This window comes from Homo sapiens, chromosome 2, assembly GCF_000001405.40.
Source record: "Homo sapiens chromosome 2, GRCh38.p14 Primary Assembly".
Classification (NCBI taxonomy): Eukaryota; Metazoa; Chordata; class Mammalia; order Primates; family Hominidae; genus Homo; species Homo sapiens.
Window position 1 is genome coordinate 103012918 of NC_000002.12, and position 12763 is coordinate 103025680.

Here is a 12763-nt window from a genome sequence, read left to right on the forward strand (position 1 = left end):
TGTTTTACATACACGTAATTTGAAATATTTGTCCCTTTTCTTAATATTTTCCTCTGAAGTTACCATGTTCGTTGTTTATAGTAGTAAGGGTGGTACAGCATTAACCAAATTATTAAAACATTAAATAAGTAATTGTGTCTTATTGAGATGTATGACAAATGAATGCAACCAAGCAGTGGAGTTTCTGCCTCTTCCATTTAATTAGAGTTGCCTTTTAGGAATTTAACATTTCATTATATATAAATGAGTACATTTACACATTGTCACTGCCATCTAGGATTTAGTTTTCAAAAACATATTGTTACTGTCCATGGCCTTTTACAATAATGGTGCAATACTGACTACATTGAAGAAAACTGATGTTTTACTAGAAAAAGGATGTAGTTTATGTAGTAGTTATATTAATCATTCTATTTTCTTAGTATAAAAAGCACTTTGCATATTTCAAAACTGCAGATTAAAATGTGGTCTGAAATACGCATATCGTCATTTGAAAGGAAATACAATCTCAAGTTTTAAGTTACATTTTTATTCCAATTGCCTTCAATAAATGTGGCCTCATTATTTGTTTTACTTGTAAAGGTAAATATGGATGTTTTAAAATGAATTTTTTTGTTCTGTTATCTTTGGATAAAGAGGCTTACACTGATTTCAACCAAACAATTCCTCATTGTGAAATAATAATTCTGTCATCAACATGCAGACAGCTTAGTGGTTACACAGCAGCTAGCTATCCTATCCCACCTGCAGGTATCCTTGTCAATGCAACTTTGATTTGTCAGGCAGCTGGTTGAGATCCCTTGAAGTCAAGATGAGCCAGGTCTGGGAGGATTCCTGATGATATCACTTTGTTACCCAAATTTCCTTCCCCGTGGCCAGTGACTGGGTAACAAGTGAGCATGGGACAGTGCGGATGATTTGAACTCAAGACGAGATCCACTAGAAGCATGAAGGAACAAATGGTGGTGTGCCAGGAGACAGGTGGGAGGAAGGTTCCCTTCCTGATAAAAAGACAAAATGTCTCCACACAAAACCACTTTGTCTTCCTGTCTGTCTCCTTCTTTTGTTGTTGAGCATGTATGCACTGCTGGGCATGCAGCTTGCCCTGTTCTGTGGGCTCCCAGTGGCATCAGGAGGCTGACAAACTTGTGCCAGCACCTACATTCCACTGGGCTCATCAAGGCGAGAACTAAGCTCCTGGCTGTTTAGCCTGCTCTTCTTTTCTTGTTACTTGCACCCAATGTAGCCTAACTACTACAATCAGTAGGAGATAATACGATACAGAAATGGAGCTAGATGGCATCTGCAATTAACTCCTGCAATGTTGCTGTAGTTTTTAAAAAATTGACTGCTTTGAAGGATAATATTTTTCTAGATATTCTCTTCTATTCTAAAAAATGTGTCATTCTGGGTGGACACAGTTCCTCATGCTTGTAATCCCAGCACTTTGGGATGCCAAAGGGGGAAGATTACTTAAAGCCAGGAGTTTGAGACCAGCCTGGGCAATATAGTGAGGCCTTCTCTCTACTAAAAAGTTAAAAAGAAAATTAGCTGGGTGTGGCGGTGCATGCCTCTAGTCCTATCTACTTAGGAGGCTGAGCAGAGAGATTTACTTGAGCCCAGGAGTTTAAGGTTGCAGTGAGCCATGATCGCGCCACTCTGTTCCAGCCTGGGTGACAGAGTGAGACCCTTTCAAAAAAGGAAAAGTGTCATTCTGAAATTTGAGTTGCTACCTCCTGTGTTAATTCCAATTTAACTTATTAGGGGAAAATGCTTTATTGCTTTATTTGTCAAAGAAAGCAGAACCACAATGACACAATGATTAAAATGCCTTTGAGGAACAGAACCACTTGTGCCAGACTTTTGCCACCTAGATGTCTTTTTCTTTGAACCCAGATGTTTGGATATTCCCCCAAATCTTCATAACTACTGGGGTAATCCTGTCCCTTAAGCATTAAATAATAATTCTAGAATATTTATCCCACAAATAGTAGAAATAATATTCCTCTTGGACTGAGGGTGGTGATGTTACATTTAGCGCAGTTACCTCTGGTCTGATCTCTGCCTTCTGCCTTTTGTTCCTATTTCCTTCTCTTCTGCCATTATTTTTCCCAGACATAAAACACCCTCTTTTCTGTTATTACATTTATTCTTTCAACATATACTTTTCAACTTCCAACCGTGTTGAGAAAGATTAATGCTGTGGAGATCAAATGGAACATTGTATGCAAAGTCTCTGGCACGAAGTGTGCCCATGAATACCTTGCTTTCCCTTTCATGACACAATCCTGATTAGGGGCAGAAACCTTGATGTGATAGATCCGAATTTTAATCCCTGTTCCACTGTTTACTACCTGTTAGACCCTCAACTGATTTGTTTTGTCTTTATGAACCTTAATAAAATGGGATCTATCATAATACCTAACACAATAGTTGAAAGGACCAAGTGAGATACTGCAGTAAGATATTTGGCAGATCCATTCTTAATTATTATTGTGGTTTGGATGTTTGTTTTGTTTTGTTTTTCTCCAGTCTCCCTTTGTCATGTGGGTGCTTGGTACCACTCTATACTTTCTTCTCATCCATCCGCTTAGGGATGTCAAAATAGCAGCTAAAATGCAAACTTAACGCAGAATCTATGTAATCCACAGGATGTATATGATTTGTTTTATTAAAGCAAAACTGTTCTAGGTATCAACGATTTCATTTTATTTTGTTTTGTTTTGTTTTGACATGTGGACTAAACACTGCTTTTGATGTTCTTAGTGCTTTTAGGGGCTAGCCTGATAAGGGTTTTGTGTTTGATCTAGGAGCTATCATTTTTTCTGAATCTCATACATGTTTGCACAGAGAGAAATGTTTATACTCTTTATTAGTCCTCTCTTAAGATGCCAGAATTCAATAGGATACAGCAACATGTATTTCTTTTTAAAAAAACTGGAAGGTTTGATGGACTTCAATAAACCTGTTTCTGTTCCTTCGCTAAAAAGAGAAAGTTCTAAATATAATGATTTTTTTCTGGGAGCATTTTATTCATCCTGCCATGCTCAAGTCATGACAACTGCCCCACAGGTTTTGATGATACAATATGTATCTGCTCAAAATTGGGGTAAGACCAACTTGCCCACTTGAAGATCAATTGGTTTCTACCTGTGGAGCAATGCACAGATTCCTGTGGCAGCCATCCCATAGAGTGTTTCAATACAAATGCTTTATTCTTTTTTTAAAGAAAACAAAAAGCCATTCTTTACATAGAGAAGGTGACATTTTTGAAAATCATTGACATTTTTCTATATCCTAGGCTATTTCAAGCAGTGACATTAAATTAATTCAAAAGAATTAGAAAAATTTCCCACAAAGTGTGCAGCCAAATACAAAGTCTAAATGTATAAATATGATCAACTGCTGAAGAATTCACATATTCAATATTACCCTTAATTATGTGACACTGAGTTTCCTCTTATCAAGTTGATAAGACTAAGTGATGAAGCTTAGATTTGAATTTATACATCATATTTTAGTTCCCCTACATCTGTTTATATGAACAAAAGTATCAGTAAATATGTTTAGAACAGCTATATTTCTGAAAAGTTGTCTCCAAAATAGAATTTTATGTATGAAACATTATGCAAAAATGTAATTTTGAATTTGAAGAGTTCCATTTGTCGATTATAAAAAACACAGGAGATTTTTTTTCCTGGTAATCTCAAAGGAATCTTAGATACTGTTAAGTCCAGAGGTCTTAAAGAAGGTTTTGGGGAGAGGATATGGTAATTAATTCTTATCTATTTATGTTTACTTAGACTAATAAAAAAACTTGAACTTTACTAATATTTAATATATAAACTCTCTCCCATGCTGTCACCCAGTCTGAAGGTCAGAGGTCCAGGGCTGTATCCCCCAACTTTGCACACTCATCAGACCAATCAGGATGGACACCACCCACAGAGATGCAGATGCTAATATCCTGGGCAGATGTGAGGGTTTAGAGGAAGGGCCAGAGTGGTGGGTATTTTGAGGAGCTTGGGAAAGTGACTATTTACATCTAGTATGAAAATGATTCAATTCTTTAACAACCAGTATAGCAACACTATTGCTTTCCATTTGCGTATCAGTGCTGTATGAATCCCTCGTGGTACCCATGGTAAACTGAGGGAGAAAAAGGGAGTTCTTCCACGTGAAGCCAGGGACAGGGCGATTTTAATCACAAGATTGCCTAATATATCATTACACAGTAGAGTTTATGTATACCTAGTTAAGCAGATTTAGGAACTAGATTATGTAGTTTCAGCTAGACTAACCAGCACAAAATGGACAAGTGATTTAAATTACTCCTGTAAAGAAGCCACTGATTTCAGATGCCACTGGTAAGATAAGCCCATTTGAAACAATTGAGGGAAGAGCTCATATAGCATAAGTCATGACATTTTAAAACATGAAATGAAGAGGCTTGCAAAAAAAGGAGATAAATAAGTCTTTAAAAATTGTATTTAACATATGGATCTGCATCCAATTCAGTAATGCTGAATTGTACTCTAAGTGTGTATTGTCTTTTAGATAAAATAGGATTACATAATCATGGTTAGGAAGATATTTAAAAATATTGTACAATTTTTTCATCATCTCAAGCTTTTAAAAATCTAAGTTTAGAAAATCAGGTTCATAGAAATGATTAATGTATTTTAAATTCAGGACTCTATCGACCTTGGTTCATGCAAGGCCCCCTCTCGTTTTAATTATACTTCATTGTATGACATGAAACAGGCATGATTCATGAGTATACATGAATTCATCACCCAAGGCAAGAACTAAAATGTTACCAACAATTTACATGTACATATATCTTGGGATTATTTTATTTTCTGTTTCACATATAGTTTATAATGTATATAATGTAGCTATGTGGTAGTACTTTCCCATAAGTTAGAATAAATAAGTTTGCATTTAAGAGGATGAACTTTTTATTAATCTGATGAGGTGCCTATCAAAAAAATAAAAATTTTAGAGGCTACTGGCTTAGTCTACTATTCATTTTCCAGATGGGCATTTGGGTCCCACAGACATTTGGCTGTCTGCCTCTTTTCCCACATCTAGTTAGTGTGTAAGAAACAAACTCCAAGATAAGCAACACTCTGATTCAAATTGCCATGTGAATAAAGCATATATTGAAGACTGGATCTGTCTAGATGATGATGGGAAAGGAGATTGGAAGCCAGGGAGCATGTTCTCGTGGCATCCCGATAAGCACTTATCAACCTGAAGTTAGTCAGCCGTGAACCATAGCCTCTTCTGCAGACCTCATACCCTCATACCTAATCCCTTGGCTGAATGTCTATATCTGTATATATTTTTTGCAAAATGATTACTGCAATTTTAAGTGGACATAGAAATGGTCCAGATACTATAACTTAATCCAGGTGCATTCAGACATCTCAGGAATAGCATTTTAAATATAAACAATTGTATATTTATGTGAGCACTTCTAGGTGTACAAGTCAAAGTCTTATCCATAGAAAATGCCACAGAATTTAATTTACCAAATTTCATATTCTGAATTTCTCTGCTCAGTACCTGGGAGTTACTCATATTCTGAAATTTGGTAAATTAAATTCTTCTCTCTTAAAAGATAAGAGCTTATTCCAAAAGAAAAAAATAAAAGAACACATAGAAAATCAAAGCCTTCTTAAAGGCATTGTATTTTTTCTAAAACACATAGGTTTAAATCACAATATTTTAGAAACATATAAATTGAGCAAAGTTTTGGAGATCTTCATTCAATTTGGAGCTATAGGTACTACAAACTCAATAATCCATTATAAAACAAATAGAAAACACTAAAAACCTCTCTAATGATCACTCAGTTTATAATTCTTCAACTATTTAGAAATTATTTTTTGAATTCTTCTACAACAATACACAAAAGGAAGAGGAGTCTCTCTTAATTATATTTCCTCTCCCCTTTTTCATGGCACTTTGCCCACAGTACTTTTACCACACTTATCACATTACACAACATTTTTCATCTGGGTGTTTCTCTCTGCTCAGTACCTGGGAGTTACTCAGAAGGAATTGTGTTTTGTTTATCTTGGTGATCCCAGAGCCTAGCAAAAAGTTTAACATATAGTACACCATCCATAAGGATTTTTGAAATACAGAATTTCCAGCTGTCTCCTTCAATTTAACGATGGTCAAGCTTCAATGCCCCTGCTTTTGATGAATGCCAGAGGTGCAATAATAGAGCTGATAGCTAGTAGGGTGTACATGGGGATCAAAGCAGATAGTATTGTCCAGGCTTCCAGAGGTGAATAATCCAGTGTGACTCATTGGTTCTGCCAAAGGTTGACTTGAGAAGAGAGACTGTCCCCTAGAGTCCAGCCACATCTTCAGCTGATCTGCTGTCTTGTGATATTGTCCATTACATCAGAACACAAAGACTATGTAAAGCCTGCACGCAAAATCTAGAAACATAAAAGCACTATGTCCCTATAGTAATTCATGCTGCAAGTGTGTTTGGAGTAACAATTCAATAACAATGTAAGATTAATCAACTCCCAAAAGTACCCTCTTATATTGTTCTCATATTTTACTGAAAGCTATTATTAGATATGTCTTATTCTCTCTTCTTTCCACAGCCCCTAGAAAGTTAATCCTACTTTGAAGACCTCTAATTTCCCAGTCCTCAGCCATAGCTGATTGGACCAGGAATAGGTGTCTGAATGAATAAACCACTGACTCTCAGAAATTTGAACTGAAAGAGACAGAGCTACTTGAGCTGAAGAGTCATATGGAGGCTCCATGGAAGTAGTGGTTTTCAGCAAAGCATAAGATAATCAAACATCAGATACCCTTGGAGGAGAGAATGACAAATGGATAGATGTACAGAGTGAAATGAAGTCATAAGAAAGAGAGATGCAGAGATGGCATTATGTGAAGACATTAACCTTGGTTACCAAATTAAATATCCAGGCCCTGGACAGCCAACTACATTTGCCTCATCTTTTTTTTTTTTTTCATTGACAAATAAAAAATATGTTAGGCCGGGTGCGGTGGCTCACACCTGTAATCCCAGCACTTTGGGAAGCCAAGGAGGGTGGATCGCCTGAGGTAAGGAGTTGTAGACCAGCCTGATCAACATGGAGAAAACCCGTCTCTACTAAAAATACGAAATTAGCCAGACGTGCTGGCGTATGACTGTAATCCCAGCTACTTGGGAAGCTGAGGCAGGAGAATTGCTTGAACCTGGGAGGCAGAGGTTGAGGTGAGCCAAGATTGAGCCATTACACTCCAGCCTGGGCAACAAAAGCGAAACTCCGTGTCAAAAAAAAAAAAAGTATATATGTTAGTTATGTACAACATGATGCTTTGAAATATGTATAGGTCTCACATTTTTAGATACCAGTGAGGTCAACTTTCAATTTGCTGCTACTTAAGCAAACTTAAATTTTGTTTACTTAGGCAAACTTGAGTGGCCCTCTGATCACTGAGACAAAAACCAGAAAATGCTTAATAGAATGAGATGAGAGAAAAATTGGTCATATAAGAATAATTCTGCATCTTGGAAAAAAATGCTCACAGGTCTTCCTCATTACACAGCTCAGAGGCCCACATTTAAGCACTGATGTGTGAAACTCTCTCAGATTATATTCATTTTATATTATTGAACAGAGAAATTAGACCACCTTTTTGTATAGACCCCTTTGCTTTTGCTACCAGGCAGCTCAGAACAACGTTTAACATAGATTATCTCTGCTTTTCTTATGTGTCTATGTAATGCTTGCCTGTTTGCTTCTTGTGTTATTTAAATTAGAAAGTTTGTAGCATTTATCTTTTTTGTATACTTATAGTTTAACTTAGTGTTTTTATAAATTCCATATTTTGTTTTTATAACTATCAATTAATTGAACAAAATGAGTAATATTCAAAACTCTTATAAACATTGTGGAAAAGTTAGTGAGGAGGTAAACTTAAAAATGGTAAATTATATTAATTTAATATATTCTTAAATTACTAGTTTTCAGTAGGTAGGGGTCCAAAGAGTGCCCCAATTAGGCATTTAATAAATACATTTCTTTTTTTTTTTTTTTTTTGAGACGGAGTCTTGCTCTGTTGCCAGGCTGGAGTGCAGTGGCACTGTCTTGCCTCACTGCAACCTCCGCCTCCTGGGTTAAAGCGATTCTCCGGCCTCAGTAGCTGGGATTACAGGCACATGACACCACACCTGACTAATTTTTGTACTTTTAGTAGAAATGGGGTTTCACCATGTTGCCCAGGCTGCTCTGAAACTCCTGAGCTCAAGAGATCCTCCTGCCTGGGCCTCCCAAAGTACTGGGATTACGGGCCTGAGCCACCACGCCCAGCCAATAAATGCATTTCAATAATAAGTATATCTAAGAAGAAAGTAAACTTCATTACCAGATAAACAAAGTATTTTAGAAAATAAAATAGTGTTGATTTTAGCCAAGGTCTTATTTTTTAAAGGCACATTTGAGAATAACTGACCCATATTATGGCAAAGCAAGTACAATTTACTAACAGATAACAAGATAAAGTATGACACATATCTATAGACATATACAGAAAGAACTAGTCATCATGAATACTCTGCAGATATTATGTCGTGCAATTCTGGTGTTAACTGTTTATCCTCTGATAGAGGCTAGGTAAAGAGTTAGAGAACAGTTGCTAAAGGAGCTGTGTCTCTTTTTCTTCTCTATCCTCAGATCTTTCTTTCTGATATTCTTTCATTTCTGTGCTGATGATTGTCTCTGATATTTCACTACACTTTATGTCTTCTTGTTTTCATGCCCATGACTGCTGTTATTCTAACAGCAAAGACTTTGGTGGACTGTAGTTATTTCTGCAACTCTAACCTTGTTGTTCCTGTTAACCTCTGCATGTACCCGTATAATTTTGGAAACTATAGTAACATAACTCTCTGCTACAGCAAGTTTCAAATTAGCAACTATAAATGTTTCTTTCTTTCTCTACACAGAAGAGTACAGAAGGACCTTGGAAACAGGATTATTTTTGTCAGAGAACAAAAACTTCCAGTTGCAAGTTGGCTTTTGAATAGTCTCCCTTCTATTCCTCCATCACTTCCCATAGTTCACCCTGTGTTCCACTACACACACTTTCCTTGGCCCCAGCAGCACAGGTTGCTTAATCATTTCATAACCATGTATGTGGTTATGAATAGGTACTTGAACAAGAGACAGCAGTTATTTTTTTTCAGCGTAAAATTACATCTGAGAAAGCAACATCAGAAAATCAAGAATCTGCAATAGGCACATCGTAGATACTGAGAGGCCTTGGGTGATTTCAAGTTCCCAAAGTTTCCCAATTGCCACCAGAAATAACATCTCAGGTCACCTCAAAGCCCTTCCAATACGCAGTTTCCATAGAGTTTTTACTGGCCTCTCAGGCTCTTCACCCCTTTTGCTCATGGAGATGCAGTTTCACTCTTGGTCACAGTGAGATTGTCTGCACTCTGTGGACCTCCCTGAAGTCAGGCCGAACCTAGGTGGTACATCTCCCCTGATCGGGAATGAGTGAATGTGTATGAATGAATAGTGTAGCTCTTTCTTACCTCCGCCATTAAGGATGTTTGGTAGAAGAGGCCTCACAGCCCAGAAAACATATATTTATATATTTCCATCTTGAATTTACTCTGAGGTCCCTTATTATTTAGATTAAGAGTCAAGAGTTTGACAAACTTTTCAATTTTCATGGGCTATCCAAATCATTCCTATAGCAATCTAGAGTTGAGTGCCTATGATAATTAGTCCTAGATCTAAGCATTTAAAGCAAATCCACATTTTTCAAATTTTAGGACACATAGGCTGTTACAGAATTTCATCCAAAATAATGCCATATACATATATAGTTTTATATATGTATATAAAATACATATAGTTTTAGTTTTATATATAAAACTATATATAGTTATATATAAAACTATACATGTAGTTTTATATATAACATATATATTTATACATTTATAAATAATTTTAGTGTTTATATATAAAATATATATAGTTTTAGTGCATGTGTGTATGTGTGAGTATCATAAGACATGGTCCACATTTAAGCAATATAATGAAATGTATTTAAAAAACAGGAACCATGTCTGTTTTATTATTTTACCCTCAGTATTTAACAGAGTAAATGGACCATACTAGGTGCTTAATGTATATTTGTTGAATGAATGAATTAAATCAAGGAATTAATGGACGAATTCAACCAGAAAATTTTGCTTTGTCGACGAAATTGTGTTGTGGCTTGTGTGCATCTTGTATGTATCTCTAAACTTGACCTTAAAATCTCTTACTCCAGAACCCTCAGTCTCCAGAGTGTTTCCATCATTTGCAATGACATCTCAGAAGAGCTATGCAGCTGCAGGTTGATCTTGCAATGCACCCAGTACCCACTGCAGTGCCTTTTACCTCCAGGCCACTTAGTTTTATTTTCTTCCTTTGAAAGGAAGGAACCAGCAAGTATCTTCTCATCTTATGCATTATTAATATGTCCCATCAGCATATAAACATATCTACCATAATGTCTGGTCTTTAAAAGTAAAATCAAAACCTCTCCCTTGAATCCAGACTTCCTGTCTCCAGCTACAACCTTATTTCGGATACTTTTTTGAGTTAAAACAAACAAAACAATAAAATAATAAAACCAAAAACTTACAAAAGTGATCTATAGTAGTCCACTCCATCTTCTTACCTTACATTCTCTCTTTAGTTCATTTCCATCAAATTTTTTTCCCTCCATTCCACTAAAACTGTTCTCATCATGGGCATTGGTGACCCCTATTGCCACCCATTGATCACTTGTTTGTTGTTATTTCATTGACCACTCTCTACTTCATCTCTTAGCTATACTATCATGTGACCTGATTTCCTTCCTCTTGCCTAGGACAGTCTGTCTTTGTCTCCTTTGCTGTCTTCCTGCTCTTAGTTTGTTGTGCAATTACCCTTCATGTCCTAGGTCATCTCCAGCAGCTCCTTGAGTGTGCATTCCTTCTAAATATTGAAAACTTGGAAACTTAAAATTCTAGCCCTAAATTCTTTCTAAATTTCCAGAGTCATGTATCCAACTACTTACTTGAAATATTTACTCTGATGTCAAATTAGCATCTTAAACCTTATATATACAAAAGAGAGCTCCTGATTCCTCACTCCTCAACATGCTCAGCCTTCCCCATAGCAACTAACCTACCACCTCCCCAGAGAGTACTCAAGCCAAAGCCTCCAAATCATGCATGATCCTACCGCTCCCCCCATTTCTCCACATTCGACTCATCAGCAAGTCCTTTCAAAAATATCTTTGGGATATGTCCTGAATCTATGTCTGATCAGTCCTGCCTCTACCATCCAATCCAACACACCATTATTTCTTCCCTCAGTAATAGGCAATAGCCTTGTAATCAATCCCTTCTTATTTTTGTGCCTCTATAAGTTATTTTCCCCAATAAACTCAGAATTATTTTTGAACACATGACCCATCCTCCTACCTAATACTTTCCTGCAGCTCACTGCTGCTCTTAGAATTATATCAAACTCTTTTGCAAAGCTTTCAAACTCACAGACCTGGACGTGGACTTATCCTTTCTTTCTCCTACAACACCTCCCTCAAGTTCAACCTTCACTCCACGCTGGTTTTCTTGCTGCCTTTGAACACATCAACATTTTTTTCCTAGTCTTTAGGTCTTCATACCAGCTGTTCTCTTTTTTTGGAAAGCCCTTTGTCCAGATATGCCAATTGCTTATTCATTTTTGTCATTTAAGACTCAGCTCAAGTGTCATCACTCCTGTCACCTTGTCCAAAGGTCAGCCATGCAATTGGAGCTGATCCACCACCACCAGAATGAAACAAACAAGCACATATACATTATACCACATCAATCTGTTTTCCTTTTTAAAAAACACTTTACATAGCTGATATTATCTCCTTTATTTTTTGTTCAGTTGTCTTCCCCAGGTGGAACATTTGGCTGCAATAAAGAAAGAGAGTATAAGCCTCATCCAGGCATTTTTAGAGATATACAATTTTTTAAAAATTGTAAGTACTTTGACACACTATAGATGCACAGTGTCAAGCTGCTTTCTCAGCATGGATATTGTTTTTGAGATTTCAAACAAGAGGCCCAACTTTCAGTGGGTAGCCTCAGATTGCTCTCTGACAACCACTCTCAGCCCTAATTCTGTCAAAGTAGTTCATTAGAATCAGCAAATCTGTGTAAAAGTTCACTGACTTTTATATATATGGAAACTCCTACACAGGGAAATCAGCTGCAGCTTTTGGTGTCACCATGACCATTTCCAATTTTTATTTTTCTTAGCCATCCAGTTAAGGCCTTTTGCAGAGTAAACCAGCATGAAATTGATTTTCCATTGTAATTTAGTCATTTCAGAAGACTCGAGATCTGGGAACACTTTGAAAAAGTGGTGTCAAGTTTTCTACTTCCTCTTTTTCATTTAAAAAATATTTATTTTATTTGGTTGAAAATATCAAAGGCAGATAATTTGTTACTAAAAACAGTTAAAATAAACTTTTGATTCTTTCTTGGTAACTCTAGACAGTTTAGGATGTCTTCTAGGTTGTGAGGATCCTGATCCTAAATAGTTGCAGCTCACTGGATGACCCTAGCTCATTCTCTTTGTGAGATGTGACTTCATTACTAGACTTGACCCAATTTGTTTTCTAATACAGAATATTACAATCTGGGAATTGTATAAGACTTACTTACATAAGTCATCTG

The 12763-nt window shown here is 36.5% G+C and overlaps 1 long non-coding RNA gene across 1 annotated transcript; it reads left to right on the plus strand.

The window, feature by feature from the left end:
* Positions 1–658: 658 nt before the first annotated feature.
* LOC124907862 (uncharacterized) lies at positions 659–6984 on the plus strand. Its single transcript, XR_007087164.1, has 2 exons — positions 659–981; positions 6633–6984. It is a non-coding gene; the product is annotated as an uncharacterized LOC124907862 (long non-coding RNA).
* The last annotated feature ends 5779 nt before the right edge of the window (positions 6985–12763 follow it).